Consider the following 17,613-nt stretch of genomic DNA (forward strand, 5'->3'; position numbering starts at 1 on the left):
TGTCCAACAAAAAACAAACTGCCCCCTTGCCCACGTCCAATATGCCAAGGAAACCATTGGAAGGCATGCTGCCCCAGATGATGAAGGCTCTCTGGGCCAGAAGCCCCCAGCCAGATGATTCAGCAAGAGGACTGAGGGTGCCTGGGGCAAGCGCCAGCTCATATCACCCTCACAGAGCCCCGGGTAAGCTCAACCATTAAGAACCAGGAAATCGATTTCCTCCTGGACACCAGCACGGTCTTCTCAGTGTTAATCTCCTGCCCTAGACAGTTATCCTCAAGATCCATTACCATCCAAGGAATCCTAGGACAGCCTGTAACCAGGTATTTCTCCCACCTCCTCAGCTGCAACTGGGAGACCTTGCTCTTTTCACGTCTTTCTTATCATGCCTGAAAGTCCCACACCCTTATTAAGGAGGGACATATTATCCAAAGCTGGAGCTATTAACTACACGAATACGGGGGACAAATTACCCATTTGTTGTCCCTTACTTGAGGAGGGAATCGACCCTGAAGTCTGGGCAATGGAAGGACAATTCGGTAGGGCAAAAAATGCCTGTCCAGTTCAAATTAGGCTAAAAGACCCCACCACTTTTCCTTATCAAAGGCAATATCCCCTATGGCCTGAAGCTCATAAAGGACCAGAGGATATTATTAGGCATTTAAAAGCTCAAGGCTTAGTGAGAAAATGGGACAGTCCCTGCAACACCCCAATCCTACGAGTACAAAAACCAAATGGTCAGTGGAGACCAGTGCAAGACCTCAGAATCATCAATGAGGCAGTAATTCCTTTATATGCTGCTGTACCCAACCCCTAAGCCCCGCTCTCTCAGATACCAGAGGAAGCAGAACGGTTCACTGTTCTGGACCTCAAGGATGCCTTCTCCTGCATTCCCCAGCACACTGACTCCCAGTTCCTCTTTGCCTTTGAGGATCCTACAGACCACACATCCCGACTTTCGTGGATGGTCCTGCCCCAGGGGTTTAGGGATAGCCCTCATCTGTTTGGTCAGGCACTGGCCCAAGACCTAGGCCAATTCTCAAGTCCAGGCACTCTAGTCCTCCAATACGCAGATGACTTACTTTGGGCTACCAGTTTGGAAGCCTCACATCAACAGACTACTCTAGATCTCTTGAATTTTCTAGCTAATCGAGGGTACAAGGTATTTAAGTCAGAGGCCCAGCTCTGCCAACAACAAATTAAATATCTAGGCTTAAACCTAGCCGAAAGAACTAGGGCCCTCAGCAAAGAACAAATTGAGCCTATACTGGCTTATCCTCGCCCTAAGACATTGAAACAGTTGCAGGGATTCCTTGGAATCGCCGGCTTTTGCCAACTGTGAATCCCTGGATACAGTGAGAAGGCCAAGCCACTCTATATTCTGATAAAGGAGACCCAGAGGGCAAATAACTCATCTAGTAGAATGGGAATCAGAGGCGGAAACAGCCTTCAAAACTTTATAACAGACCCTAGTACATGCTCCAGCCCTAAGCCTTCCCACGGGACAAAATTTATCTTTATATGTCACAGAGAGACCAGGAATAGCTCTTGGAGTTCTAAGTCAGACCCGTGGGATAGCCCTACAACCAGGGGCATACCTAAGTAAGGAAACTAATGTAGTAGCAAAAGGCTGGCCTCACTGTTTATGGGTGGTTGCAGCAGCGGCCATCTTAGTATCAGAGACTATCAAAATAATACAAGGAAAGGATCTCACTGTCTGGACTACTCATGATGTAAGTGGCATATTAAATGCTAAAGGAAGTTTGTGGCTCTCAGATAACCACCTACTCAAATACCAGGCACTAATCCTTGAAGGATCAGTGTTTCAAATATGCACATGTGCAGCCCTCAACTCTGCCACTTTTCTCCCAGAGGATGGGGAGCCAATTGAGCATAACTGCCACCAAATTATTGCCCAGACTTATGCCGCCTGGGAGGATCTCTTAGAAGTTCCTTTAACTAACCCTGACCTTAACCTGTATACTGATAGAAGTTCATTTAGGTACAAAGGGCAGGCTATGCCATAGTTAGCAATGCAACAGTACTTGAGAGTAAGCCTCTTCCCCCAGGGACCAGCACCCAGTTAGCAGAACTCGTGGCACTTACCTGAGCCTTAGAACTGGGAGAAGGAAAAAGAATAAATGTGTATACAGATAGCAGATATGCTTATCTAGTTCTACATGCCCATGCTGCAATATGGAAAGAGAGGGAGTTTATAACCTCTCAGGGGACACCCATTAAGTACCACAAGGAAATCATGAAATTACTGCACGCAGTGCAGAAACCCAAGAAGGCGGCAGTCTTACACTGCCGGGGTCATCAAAAAGATGAAGGAGAAGCAGCAGAAGGAAACTGCCGAGGAGATGCTGAGGCCAAAACTGCTGCTAAGCAGGACTTCCCTTTAGAAGTGCCCATGGAAGGACCCTTAGTATGGAGCAACCCCCTCCAGGAGGTTAAGCCCCAGTATTCCCCAAGCGAAACAGAATGGGGACTCTCATGGGGGCATAGTTTTCTCCCCTCAGGGTGGTTAGCGACAGAAGAGGGAAAGGTGCTCATACCTGAAGCCAGCCAGTGGAAAATACTTAAGACCCTCCAACAAACCTTTCATACAGGTTTTGAAAGTACCCGTAAGATGGCCAAATCCCTATTTACAGGGCCAAACCTTCTCCAAACTATGCGGCAGGTAGTCAAGGCCTGGGAGATGTGCCAAAGAAATAATCCCTTGGTCCATCATAAGGCCCCTCTGGGGGAACAAAGAATAGGGCACTATCCTGTAGAGGACTGGCAGTTAAACTTCACCCACATGCCTAAGTCAAGAGGATTTCAATACTTGTTGGTCTATGTTGATACCTTTACAAAGTGGGTGGAAGCCTTCCCCTGCACAACAGAGAAGGCCCAAGAAGTAGTTAAAATCTTACTTCATGAAATAATTCCTATATTCGGACTTCCCCCAAAGCTTACAGAGCAACAATGGTCCAGCTTTTAAAGCTACAATAACTCAAGGAATTTCCAAGGCACTAGGAATACAATATCACCTTCACTGTGCCTGGAGACCACAATCCTCAGGGAAAGTCGAAAAGGCAAATGAAACACTAAAGAGGCATTTGAGAAAGTATCTCCCATGGCCACTCTCTTGCCCATGGCCTTGTTAAGAATCCGAAATTCCCCTGGAAATTTGATCCAAAATCAAAGGGGGCTCAGTCCATATGAAATGCTGTATGGATGGCCTTTTCTCACAAATGACCTCCTGCTCAATCAGGAAACGGCCAATTTGGTCAAAGATATAATAACTTCTCTAGCAAAGTATCAACAAAACCTTAAAACTTTACCCAAAGGGTATGACAGGAGAAAAGGGATAGAGCTGTTCCAACCAGAAGATCTAGTAGTGGTCAAGTCCCTCCCCTCTACCTTCCCATCTATGGATCCCTTGTGGGAGGGACCATACTCAGTAATCCTCTCTATCCCCACTGAGGTTAAGGTGGCAGGAGTGGAATCCTGGATTCACCACACCCGAGTTAAACCTTGGACACCCCTTGAGGAACTTACAGGACTATCAGCTCAGGAGTCTGAAGATCAGCCAGACCAGCCTTGATACACCTGTGACCCACTTGAGGCCCTGCTTCTCCTATTTCGGAAGGAAGCATCCCAGGCTAAAAAGACTCCTGCAGTTAATCCTAAAGAAGAAAAACTCATCTCTACCTAATAGAGGATAAGCAGAAAGCCTACATGGATCTTTGACATCTCTCCTTGCTCTCTTTAATGGAGTCCTTATACTGTTTCATCATATTAAACAGTATACTAACCATACCCTTTGCAGTAGGATTATATACTGTAGCTCCTGCCAGGACAAAAATCCTGACCACATCAACCTTTTTTCTATCGTCCTTCCTTTTAACAATTTACTCCTTCTTCCCTCCTCCTTTCTACTACCGCTCCACCTACAGAGCACCATGACTCCCTTTATAAGGATCTCCTAAGCTTCTTTTAACTCTCCTAAGTATTCTTTCTGCCACCTCTTCATCCCTCCCCAACTGCACTTGCTTCTCTAGTGCATACTCTCCTCCCCTTCCCAGAAACACTGATGTAGTCTACTTCGAAAGGATATTGTTTAAAACTAAATCAGGGTTTACTACCCACACCTATATGAGAAAGGAATGTTATAGTGCTGCTTCTCTCTGCTCCCACAATGGCCATACATATCACCAAGGACAAATGACCCAGTCCAACTGTCCCGATGCCCTAGGGACTACCCAATGTTGGACATATTACACCCATGTGGGTATAACTGATGAGAGAGGTGTCCAGGATAAAGCCAAAAACAACATGTCCAACAAGTAATTAAAAACTTGATCCAACCATCTAACACTCCAAGTCCATATAAGAAACTAGACCTTTCCGGGTTACAAAAGACTCTTGACTCTCATTCCCATCTCTAGAGTCTATTTAACACCACATTCACAGGAATGCAGGAGGCCTCTCCTAACAATCCAACTAACTACTGGATGTGTCTTCCCTTGCGTTTCCAACCACATGTCCCAGTAGTCCCTGTCCCAGGACATTGGAACCTATCCACCTCAGTCCTAAACACCACCGGGATAATTGGCTCCCCAGTCACCAATCTGCCAGCCACACAGGCCTCAAATCTCACATGTATAAATTTTAGCATGACTCCCAATAGAAACATCTCCCAAAGTCAATCCTGGATACCAGTGACCTCAGGTTTCACCTGTCTAACTCCAGACATCTTTTTCATCCGTGCTAACATAGCTTATTGATGTCTAAAGGGCACCCCAAAAGAGTTATGCTTTCTCTCATTTCTAGCACCCCCATGTCCATTTATACCGAACAAGAGTTGGAAAGTCTCCTTATACCCCAGTCCCGCCACGCCCGAGCGCCTATTCTCCCTTTTATGGTAGGAGCCAGAATACTGGGTGGGCTTGGGACAGGAATTGGAGGTATAACCTCCTTCACCCAATTCTATTATAAAATATCACAAGAATTAAATGATGATATGGAATGGGTTGCCAATTCCCTGATGACCCTACAAAGCCAGCTTAATTCTCTGACTGGGGTGGCCCTCCAAAAACGAAGGGCCCTAGACTTACTAACAGCTAAAAGAAGAAGAACCTGCCTCTTCTTAGGAGAAGAATGTTGCTACTTTGTCAACCAGTCAGGAATTATTGCCGAAAAAGTCCAGGAGCTAAGGGAATGAAGAGAACGTAGAAAGAGTGAACTCCAACTCTCAGGACCCTGGAGTATATTTAACCAATGAGTACCTTGGCTTCTCCCCTTTCTAGGCCCTGTAACAGCCATCTTGCTATCACTCGCCTTCGGTCCCTGTATTTTTAACCTCCTTGTCAAATTTATTTCCTCTAGGATAAAGGCCATCAAGCTACAAATGGCCTTACAAATGGAACCTCAAATGAATTTAACTCAAGCTTCTACCGAGGACCCCAGGATCAGCCCACTGGTCTCTTAACTGGCCTAGAAAGTTCCCCTCTGGAGGACAATACAACAGCAGGGCCCCATCGTCGCCCCTAACCAGCAGGAAGTAGCTAGAGCAGTCATCGCCCAGTTCCCAACAGCAGTTGGGGTGTCCTGTTTAGAGGGGGGACTGAGAGGTGATGCCAGCTGAGCTTCCTGGGTTGAGTAGGGGCTTGGAAAGCTGTAAAACTCACTCATTTCCTGCATCAGGACTTACTTCAGTTCTGGATAAATAATACTGAGGATATATGCTTAAAATATTCCTAACACCAGGATTTGCTTATATGTTTTCTTCCCAAGAAAGCTATAAACAGCGAGAATTTTAGCTGTAAGTTTTCCTGTATGCCCCACTCCTCCCCTGCCAAAACCAGAGTTAAAGAAAAGATTAACTGCCCATTTTTCTGTGATCAGCGGACCTTATCTATCCTCCCAATTCCTTATGAACATAGTTCGTTAAGTTCTATAAGATCCTCTTTTTCTTGCTGTACAGCTCCAAGGCCACAAAACGAGTAAGCATAAGTCGCAATTTCAGATTTTCTCAAAATCTAAGGCATGTCACAAAATAATTTACTGCCTTTGTTTCTTGCTCCTGTAACATTCTTCCCGCCTCACGTATCTCCCGCCTTAAAGAGTTTAAAAGGCAATCACCCAAGCTAGCAGTGGCAACCCATTTGGGACCCCTTCCACACTGTAGAAGCTTTGTACTTTCACTCTGCTCAATAAAACCTACAGCTCACTCTCTCTCTCAGTCCAAGTCTCTGTCACTCGCCGCAGTCAGCCTCCACACCAATTCTTTGGCGTGGCTAGGCACAGAACCTTGGGTGTTACAAAAGGATAAAAAGACAAGATACAGAGTGCAAGAAAATATTTGCAAACAATGTATCAAACAGAGTAGTATCTAAAATATATAAAGAACTCTCAAACTCAACAGTAAAGAAGAAAACTTCTGGGCACAGTGGCTCATGCCTGTAATCCCAGCAGTTTGAGAGGCCAAGGTGGGTGGATCACTTGAGGCCAGGAGTTCAAGAACAACCTGGCCAAAAGGTGAAACCCCATCTCTACTAAAAATAGAAAAATTAGCCAGGCATGGTGGTGGGTGCCTGTAATCCCAGCTACTCAGGAGGCTGAGGCAGGAGAATCACTTGAACCTGGGAGGCAGAGGTTACAGTGAGACAAAATCCCGCCACCGCACTCCTGCCTGGACAACAGAGCAAGACTCCATCTCAAAAAAAAAAAAAAAAAAAAGGAAACAATACAATTAAAACACAGGTAAAAGGCATGAAGAGACATTTCACTGAAGAAAAAAGAAAACAGACAAGTGGGAAAATAAGCATATGAAAAACTGGTCAACATTACAGTGATTAAGACCTGGTTTTCAGGCCAGCATGTGAGAAGCCTGAAAGTCATTATCTAACAAGTAAAAAGCTGAACAAAGTGAAAAAGCAACAACTCTTCTTAGATCCCAAAGAGAACTGAGGTCACAGTGCAAACAGCTGCTCCCAAAACAGAAGAGAGCAACATGGCAAATGCATAGAATACTTATTAGAGCTTGAAACTTGTGTGGGACACAGCACCTAGGTGGGAAAACTTGAATTGTATTAATTGCTGGAGGCTGAGTATGAAGAAGTCTGAGAGTTAAAAATTCCAAAACGACCCCGTCATAGGGAGACTACCAGACTTTTACGAGTTTTACTTCCAGGAGTTTGACCTGGTTCTCACAGTAAGTATCAGAGAAAAATCCCCTCATGACTCCAGAAAAGGGAAGATAAAAGGGTCCATTTTGAAATATACCAGAACATTCTATTCTTAATAAGGTCTGCCCTCAGGAGAAACTATTTAACCAGAGCCTAAACTCTTTGTAGTTTTAACAGAGCCTAACTTACCTTGGGGAAGAGAAATAACCAACTCCAGTCAATTCTAGTCTTCCGGGTGGTTAAAGGGAAATACCCAACTAAAGCTCCCTGTAGCCATCCTGTCCCACTCAAGTTAGTAAAAACAGAAAAAAACTGAGAAGCATCTGTGAAGTTACAACCCAGGGGCACCGGCTCACTAAAACACTGAGGCCAAATCGTAGGACACTTCCCCTCCCCACACACCTTACCACCACATTACTAAAGGTCTGCTCACCAGTTTCTTTTACCCAGTATATCACGATCAGCTTTCAAAAAATAAAAATAAAAAGTACAAGGCATACTGTAAGACAAAAAAAAAATAGTTTGAAGAAATAGAGCAAGCTTCAGGACTAGACTCAAACACGGCAGGGATATTGGAATTACTAGACCAGGAATTTAAAACAACTATGATAAATAGGGTAAAGGCTTTAATTGAAAAAGTAGACATCTTCCAAGAACAGACGGATAATGTAAGCCGAGGGATAAAAATTCCAAGAATCAAAAAGAAATGCTACAGATCAAAAATACTCTAATAGAAATGAAGAATGCCTTTGATGGGATCATTAGTAGACTGGACTTGGCACAGAAATCTCTGAGCTTGAAGATATGTCAACAGAAACTCTTAAAACTGAAAATAAAGAGAAAAAGGCTGGTAAAAATGGAACATAATTATTTAATTAAAAAAAAAAGGAGAAGAAGGCAGAGGCTGCAGCCAGCCAAGATCACACCACTACACTCTAGCCTGGGCAACAGAGCAAGACTCCATCCAAAAAAACAAACAAACAAACAAACAAACAAACAAACAAAACACATTATATCCAAGAATTGTGGGACAACTACAAAAGGTATGCCTTACACCCTTCACAAAATTTAACTCAAAATAGATCACAACCCTAAATGTAAAACACAAAACTATAAAACTCCCAGAAAATAACATAATAGAAAACCTAGATGACATTGGTTATAGCAATGATTTTTTAGATAAAACGGCACAATCCGTGAAAGCAACAACTGATAAGCTTAACTTCATTAAAATAGAAAGCATCTGCTCTGCAAAAGACAATGCCAAGAGAATAAGACAAGCCACAGAATGAGAGAAAATACAGTAGGCCCTCCATATCCGCAGGTTCCACATCTGCAGACTCAACCAACCGTGGATCAAAAATATTAACAATAAAAATAATCAAACTTTAAAAACAATATAGTATGGCAACTATTTACACAGCACTTACATTGTATTACGTATTGTAAGGAATCTAGAGATGATTTAAAGTATACAGAAGTAAGTGTGTAGATTATATGTAAATACTACACTATTCTATATAAAGGACTTGAGCATCCTCAGATTTTGGTATCAGGGGTCCTGGAACCAAGCCTCCACAATACCAAAGGATGTCTTTATTTGCAAAAGACATGTTCGATAAAGGCCTCTCATCCAAATATACAAAGAACTCTAAACTCAACAATAAGAAAACTAACAACCCAATTAAGAAATGGGCTTTATAAAGACCTTTACAGAGACCTCATCAAAGATGATATACAGGCAGCAAACAAGCATATGAAAAGGTGTTCCACCTCATACATCATCAGGAAAATGCAAATTAAAACAACAAAATACTACACATTTATTAGAAAGGCAAAATCCAGAACACTGACAACACCAAATGCTAAGTAGGATGTGGAGCAACAGAACCCTCATGTATTGCTGGAATGCAAAATGGTACAGCCTCTTTGGAAGACAGTTTGGTGGTTTTTTTACAAAACTAAATATACAAAATTAAATATATAGAAAACTAAATATACTCTTACCACATGATCCAGCAATTGAGCTCCTAAGTATTTAGGCAAGAGAGTTGGGAACCAAAATAAAAGTCCTAACCCTTCCAACAGACTACTGGACCCTCCTTTAGCTAAAAGACCCCAAAATTTTAAGTTAGCAGCCATGGCAAGACAGTAAGCTGTTCATGATCCATTTGCTTCCAACCCACTTCTCTCCTTTCTAATCACTGGATTTTCTCAAAAGCCAGTGTGAGAAAACAAAAGTCCAAAAGACCCCTTCGTTCAAGTCATCTAAACACACCCCCTCCTGTTTTTATAGTTTCAACATGACAACTATTTTAGGCCACAAAGATTTTCTTCTTGATAAGTGGCTTTTGGAAGGGACTGGTTCTGGCCAGTCACCTGAGGATGCAGTTTATGGACTTCTTCCCTACATTTCACCTTTTACATATAGAACCTAACTACAATGCATTTAAATATTAAATCTCCACCTCAAAGTGATTATGGGAGGTATTTTACATATGAGTAAACCTAAAACGCATGTGTGTGGGTCTCCTTCATGAATATTCATGGTTCCTTCTGTAACCTGTTGAATATAGCTGTATGCCTAGCCAATCATCAGCATAAGTTCTTATCTTAAACCCTCACCTTACTGGACCCCACTCTGCCTGGAAATGCCTCTCAATTTCTGCTGAGACTATGCCTCCCAGCCTGTCAGAATGGCCTATACAAGCTGCAAACCTTTGTGAGAAATGAAGCTCTCCTTTCCAAATCTATGAACCTCATCATTCTTCAGCTGACAGAGTTGAAAGCTGACATCCACACAAAAACCTACACACGGCTGTTTACAGCAACTTTCCTCATAATTGCCAAAACCTGGAAACAACCAAGATGTCCTTCAGTAGGTGAATGTTGATAAACTGTGGTACATCCAGACAATGGGATATTACTCAGCACTAAAAGCAAATGAGCCATCAAGCCATGAAAAGACATGGAGAAACTTAAATGCATATTACTAAGTGAATAAAGCCAAACCCACAGAATATACAACACCAAAAGTGAACCCTAATGCAGGGGTCCCCAAACCCCAGGCCACAAACCAGCACCGGTCAGTGGCCTGTTGGGAGCCCAGCTGCACAGCAGGAGGTGAGTGGCTGCAGGTGAGTGAGGGCAGCTGAGCACCACCTCCTGTCAGATCAATGGCAGCATTAAATTCTCATAGAAGCACAAACCCACTGCACATGCAAGGGATATAGGTTGTGCGCTCCTTATGAGAATCTAATGATAAATATAATGCAATGCACCTGAATCATCCCAAAACCAACCACCCCACTCCACCCTGGTCCGTGGAAAAACTATCTTCCACCAAACCAGTTCCTGGTGCCAAAAAGGTTGGGGACTGCTACCCTAATGCATGAACACTGGGTGATAATAGTGTGTCCATGTAGTTTTATCAATTGTAACAAATATACTACACTAGTAGGAGATAATGACATTGGAGGAGGCTGTGCATGTGTGGGGACAAGAGATATACAGGAAATCTCTGTACCTCCCAATGAATTTTCCTGCTGCTCTAAAAAAACTGCTCTAAAAAATACAGTCTATTTTTTAAAATGAGACATCACTACCACAAGGAAATACCATTATACTATCAAAATGGCTAAATTTTTTTACACTAAGTGGTAGCAAAGATAAAAAGAAAACTAGATCACTTATACATACATTGCTGATGGAAATGGTACAGTCACTCTAGAAAACTGTGTGGCAGTTTCTTTAAAATCTAAATATGCTACTACACAATCCAGCTACTACACTCCTAGGCATCTACTCACCCAAAGAAATGAAGACATAGGTTCACAGAAAAACCTATACCCACATGTTTATAGCAACTTTACTCATAATAGTCAAAAACTGAAAACATCCCAAATGTTTTTCAATAGGTAAATGGTTAAAGTGTATTCTCTCCAATACCACCATTACTGAATGCTACTCATCAATAAAAAGGAATGGACTGTTGATACATGTAACAACTGGATGAAAATCCAGAGAAAAAAGCCACTTTCAAATTCCAGTTATGATTCCATTTATAAAGTATTCTTGAAAAACAAAACTATAGAAATGGAGAGTAAATGGCTTCCAAGAGTTAAGAGATAAAGGAGAGGGGGCAGAGAGAGAAGTGGGTGTGGGAAACATGAGGTATGTGGAAATGTTCTGAATCTCAGCTCTATCAATGTCAATACCCTGGTTACAACACTATTATTTCTTAAAACTGTATATAAATCTATAATTATCTCAAAGTAAGAAGTTTAGTTAAAAAGATGAAGGAAAAACTCTTATGACTAGAGGGACAATTTTCTTTTTTTGAGATGGAGTCTCGCTCTGTCCCCCAGGCTGGAGTGCAGTGGCACGATCTCAGCTCACTGCAAGCTCCGCCTCCTGGGTTCACGCCATTCTCGTGCCTCAGCCTCTCAAGTAGCTGGGACTACAGGCGCCCGCCACCACGTCCAGCTAATTTTTTGTATTTTTAGTAGAGACGGGATTTCATTGTATTAGACAAGATGGTCTCGATCTCCTGACCTCGTGATCCGCCCACCTCAGCCTCCCAAAGTGCTGGGATTATAGGCATGAGCCACCGCGCCCGGTCGATTAGAGGGACAATTTTATTTGATATACAGCAACACTGAACATTATTAAATATTCAAACACTATAATTTTCAGTATGAAACAATAAAACATATCCCCTGAAAATTCTTGTACCACAACCACTCTTCAAAGATTCATATATAAACAATAAGAATTTTAGCTCACCTTCCACGCTATCAGAACAGGAAGTTCCAATGCCAGTGTCTCCACTGTCAGAAGCTATACTGTGTCTCCTGATATGGTTATTTCGATGGTTAGATGGAACAGTTGTGGCCTGCCACAATGATTCATTAGCAGGTAGCCATGCTGATGAATAATCTGGGCCTAAAAAGGGAAATATGTAACAGTTAACACATATATCTGAGTAGGCAGAAGATTTTTTTTTTACCTTGTGGAAAATACACATAGGGTATAAAAGGTATAAAAGGTTCTTTTCTGCCCAAAATAATTTAAAATGATCAACAAAATTAACCAAATAAATGTATATATCACACATATATCAATTAAGTGTGATTACATAGCTTCCTCTAGCTGAAGAACTCTGTTTTCTGCTTCCGGGCATTAAACTTTTAAAGACGTACTGCTGTGTTATTAAAAATGTTGGAACTATCCACTTATCTTCAAATGTCAGTACTCTGCTCTAGAATAATTGATAGGTGGCATCTGTGATTATACATACATGCGTTAGCTGAAAATCAGGGCTCAGGAAAATTCAATAATAATGCATGATAATATAAATAGGATATCCACATGGAATATGAAAACAATCCATTTTTTTCTGCTATATATCTACTAAATTTTTTCTACAATCATCACTTAAAATTTTTAAATTTTACATTATTTTATTTGAATTATTTCCTTAATTATTATTTAATAACAGTTTAATAGCACAGCATTTTCCTACTCTTAGCTTGATTTGTCTTTTTTTTTTTTTGAGACGAGTCTCGCTGTCACCCAGGCTGGGTGGAGTGCAGTGGCGCGATCTCTGCTCACTGTAAGCGCTGCCTCCCGGGTTCACGCCATTCTCCTGCCTCAGCCTCCGGAGCAGCTGAGACTACAGGTGCCCACCACCACACCCCGCTAATTTTTGGCATTTTTAGTAGAGATGAGGTTTCACCGTGTTAACCAGGATGGTCTCCATCTCCTGACCTCGTGATCCACCCGCCTCCGCCTCCCAAAGTGCTGGGATTGCAGGTGTGAGCCACCGCGCCCAGCTAGATTTGTCCTTTTAATTTAAATACTTTTTAGCTAATTTAAGGTTTTTCAATGTTCTTTCAATGTTTATTTCCACTTACTCACTTTTACTTAACTTTTATTTGACTTTTTCTGTTTTACCCATCACTTATTTTATTGTCTAGTACAGTGCTACTCAAAGGATATCAATGGACCAGTGCCAATCTGTACTATTTGTTACAAGTTAGATGCAGAAATAAATAAGCATCTAGAAATGTTATTGTACTATAATTAGAAAGAGAAATTTTAAATTCGTTCAACTTTACATAAAACCTGTAGAAGCACAAATCTTTACTAATGCCTAATACAGTAAGTCTCAATTCAGGGCTTACAGAATTATTCATAAAAGTTAAGAAGTTCCCCTACATGAATTTTAGGCTCTCATTTCAATGACAGTTCTTAAAAAATTAATAAGCACATTACAGATTATCTGAACAGCCAACTTAAAACATTATTTCCACATAATTTCAATGCTCCCGTATCTGTATAGCAGCCTTAAAAAGATTTATCACATAATTCAATGTCCCCATCTGTGTTTTGCGGTTGAAATAGCAGTTGCTTCTAAGTAAAGAGCAAATGACATCACTGGGTATTTACCATTATTTGAAAGAAGATAGCTTTACAGAATTATTCATTGATACCCTATTGAAACCGGCATGCAAGGAATGCCTTCTGGCAGTTTAAACATAAGGGTAACAAAACAACAAACGTGCATAAAATTAATTATACCAGTTTTTTTAACCACACTTTTAGGATTAGTTGTTCTCTATGTCAGTATTAAAATCAAAATATATAAACAAATTAATAAAACCAGACCTAAAGCTACCTCTATCATACTAAGCTCAACATTAATGATTCACTTTTAATAAAACATTGTCACATTATTTTATTTAATGCATTTATTTATTTAAATGCAATTTATCAATTAAATTTAGGCTTTATACATGTATAAAGTATATAAGCAGCCTTAAAAGCCTTATACATTTAAATTAACAAATCAAATTTGAAAAACAGTGGCCAAAGAGACACTTTTACCAGCTTTGAGGTTCAGAACAACCACTTAAAGCTTTGTAGATTCTAGACTTCTCTCAGAATGAGACTTTTCAATTCAAGTGATTCAACACTCACATTAAAGCACCAGAAGAAGGTGTTCTGTCACCAGATCTATTCTAATTCTGATCTGTGGTCTGTAATCTATACCAAAATTTTTTTTCAATCAGGTAACATCCCATCTAAATGAGCTCAAAGTCCTGCCTAAACTATTATCAAAAATGGCAACCAGCCTAGTCTCACAAGTGCAAACCTATTAGCTGGATAATTATTTTTTTTTAAGAATACCCAGCAAATAGCATAAATAGGCTGGGACTATATGTAAATGAAAAAATAAATATAAGAAACGATGCCAAATCTCACTAATGGTGGGAGAAGTGAAAAAGACAATAAATTTTCTGGATTTTTAAAACTATCAAGTTGATAAAAGAAAGACTGGTGTCAACCAAGTGAGGGGAATGTTCGTATATTTTTGTGGCCTTGCAAATTGGTACAACCTTTCTAAAGGGCAAACTGGAAAGTGGTATCTAAATGTCAATATAGACATGACCTTCTACTGAGAATTTATCCTAAGGAAATATCAGACAATTACAAATAAATATGAGTATAAGGACATTCCTGACAGCACTGCTTAAAGTAAATGCCTATGAACAAAATATAAACTGTTAATTAGTTGATAATGTTTAAGTGCTAAAAATGATTTTATCAACCTATTTTTTAACATGGAAGAACATCCAGAATATATCTAGTGTGTATGGAAGAGAAGCATTTTATGTAGCTATATACATAATATGATTCCACAGCTGGAGAAGAGTTTGTACATTTACATACATGGAAGAAGCTTTCAGGGAGCTCTATATCTAAATGCTAACACTGACTATGTTTTACTAAAGGAAGAAATACATTACAGGAACATTTACTCCATCATTGGTTATTATTATTATTCAATCTACCAGTTTATGTGGGGAAATGCTGAAAATTATGCATACTGATTTGCAGATTACATCAACATTTGATTCTGAGATTAGAAACCAGCTATAGCTCAAGATACGCAAATTCAGATTCCTAGTAACAATTTTTACAAAAGCTGCATAAAATGGCTAGAATTAAAACCCTTGCTTTTAGGCAATATAACTATTTTGAGCAGTATAAAGTCATGCTCCATTAAAGCCTACAACACACCTCCACCCTATTGATTGTTGACAAGTCTTGGCCAATAAACCATTTGTGGATTAAAAGGCAATAATCATTCTCTCTCTCACTCTCTCTCCACTCACTCACTTTCTCACTCCAGTAATGGGGAGGAAAGCCCACTGTACATATTAATGCTATGGTGTTATTATCACAAGCTAGGACAACCTTCAATCATTAGTCTTGTATAATTAACTATTGCCAGAAAAACAGTTCAATAAAACCTTTTTCTGTCAAGAGCCAGATTGTAAATATTTTCAGTTTTGTGGGTCACTCAATCTCCGTCTCAACTAGCCAATTCTGCCACTGTAGTCTAAATCAGCTGTAGACAATAAAATGGATGTGGCTATGTTGTAATAAAACTTTATTTACAAAAACAGGTGACAAGTCCAATGAAACCTGGGGGCCAGTTTGCAGACTCCTGAGATGTGGTAAAAAATCATTCTAACTGAAAAGAGTCCCTAAAATTCAACTGATTCATAAGTAACTACAGCCAGCATATTAATTCATTTCTTTATTTGGAAGAAAAGTGAGCTCATCCTAGAGTACATATCAGCAAGCCAGGCTGCCCAGAATCTGACAATTCATGAAAGCACTACTGAGGTTTTTCAAGGATTACAAAGACAAATAAATGTCAACAAGTGTTTTAGGTTTCTTTTTCCAGAATAAATGATCTCAGTTTATCCATATGGTATGGAACTCCTGGACAATGTCAAATATGTGTGATGGTTAATTTTACATGACAACTTGACTGGACCATGGGGTGCCCAGATATGCAGTCAAACATTACTTCCGTGAAGGTGTTTGGATGAGCTCAACATTCAGATTGGTCGACTGGATAAGGCAGACTGCCCTCCATAATGTGGGTGGGCTTCACTGAACCAGCTGAAGGCCTGAACACAACAAAAAAGCTAACCATCCCCTAAGCAGAAGAGAATTCTTCCTGCCTGATCCCCTTTGATTAAATACACTAGTACACTGGCTTTTTCCTACCTTCAAGCTTGAACTGATCTCTTCCTGGGGCTTGAGCCTGCCAGCCTTCAGACTGGAACTATGCTATCAACAATCCCAGGTCTCCAGCTTGCCAAATCACCTCACAGATCTTGGGACCTGTCAGCCACCATAATCTCATGAGCCAATTCTTAATTAATTAATTAAATGCTATTGGCTCTGTTTCTCTGGAGAACTTCAATACAATATTGGGAAAACTAGAAAAATTCTAATCTTGCCTACAGATATGAAAAAGTGGGGACAGCCTTCTATTTAGAAAAGAACAATAGTTGTAATCCTCAATTTCCATTACAGTATTTCAATATCATCTACTCAATATGATACCTATTCCACAGATTTCCAAAGCACATCAGTACAATCTCAACTATCTGTTATCTAACTTTTATACAAAAAAAGCTATAAGAAATGACAGAGAAAATGGTCTAAGACATGCTATCATTCCGCCCCTCTAGAAACCCTAAATTCTATCTTTGAATCACAGAGCAGTACATACATACTTAGAGCCTTTTTATTTAGCAACTCAGGGAAATGATCTTCCTAAAATTTCTTTCAGTGTACTGCCACCTTATAAACTTGAACCTCTGACTTTTACAGAAGGACACAAAAAGTAAGCAAACCACATAAATCATCAAATTGTTGTCTAGGCCGGGCAAGGTGGCTCACACCTGTAATCCCAGCACTTTGGGAGGCCAACGCTGGCAGACAGCTTGAGTTCAAGAGTTTAAGACCAGCCTGGAAAACATGGCAAAAGCCCATCTCTACAAAAGAAAAAAAAAAAAAAATTCAAAAAAATGCCTCTGTGCATGGTGGCACATGCCTGTAGTCTCAGCTACCTGGGAAGCTAAGCTACTTGAACCCAGGAGGTGGAGGCTGCAGTAAGCCGAGATCATGCCACTACACTCCAGCCTGGGTAATAAAGCAAGACTGTCTCAAAAAAAAAAAAAAAAAAAAAAAGTTGTCTATATATTTAAGAAGTTAAAGGCAAACACTAAAAATATTTGCAGATATGGTATTAATGCATAATTATAAAGAGATCATAAGCAAACTAAAAATAAATAAATAAATACTAAATGGTTTAGTCTAAATGGACAAAGGACAAACCCCAAAGGGAAAAACACAAATAAAAAATTCTGAAAAATAGTCCAAGCCCACTGGTAAGCAAGTAGTATCAAATTCAGAAGACATGCTATTTTTCAGCTATCAATCTAGCAAAAATGTTAAAAGAACAAAACAACAGTGTTCCTAGATACTCCCATACACTGATAATGGTAATGTTAATTTATTCATTACAAAAACACAACCTTTTGATAGGCTATTAGGCAATATACAT

General features: G+C 40.3%; 1 protein-coding gene across 12 annotated transcripts in view, besides 2 other annotated features; it reads right to left on the bottom strand.

The window, feature by feature from the left end:
- The window catches only part of CEP85L (centrosomal protein 85L), a 249,318-nt gene that overhangs the window by 159,718 nt on the left and 71,987 nt on the right, over positions 1 to 17,613 (bottom strand). For all 12 annotated transcript variants that reach the window (XM_011535811.2, NM_001178035.2, XM_011535810.3 and 9 more), the window contains one exon: positions 11,964 to 12,122. Coding sequence is in view for 9 of the 12 variants with exons in the window: in NM_001178035.2 (NP_001171506.1) it covers positions 11,964 to 12,122 (159 nt within the window). In the remaining 3 variants the exon portion in view is untranslated. The remainder of the gene's footprint in view (positions 1 to 11,963; positions 12,123 to 17,613) is intronic.
- Positions 9,608 to 10,202: an enhancer, noted in NCBI's record as "H3K4me1 hESC enhancer chr6:118951260-118951854 (GRCh37/hg19 assembly coordinates)". NCBI's record gives its function as "activates a minimal SCP1, AML or CMV promoter by ChIP-STARR-seq in naive H9 embryonic stem cells {active_cell/tissue: H9 hESC(naive)}" and the evidence as "EXISTENCE:reporter gene assay evidence [ECO:0000049][PMID:30033119]".
- Positions 10,203 to 10,797: an enhancer, noted in NCBI's record as "H3K4me1 hESC enhancer chr6:118951855-118952449 (GRCh37/hg19 assembly coordinates)". NCBI's record gives its function as "activates a minimal SCP1, AML or CMV promoter by ChIP-STARR-seq in naive H9 embryonic stem cells {active_cell/tissue: H9 hESC(naive)}" and the evidence as "EXISTENCE:reporter gene assay evidence [ECO:0000049][PMID:30033119]".

Source organism: Homo sapiens, chromosome 6 (genome assembly GCF_000001405.40).
Source record: "Homo sapiens chromosome 6, GRCh38.p14 Primary Assembly".
Lineage (NCBI taxonomy): Eukaryota > Metazoa > Chordata > Mammalia > Primates > Hominidae > Homo > Homo sapiens.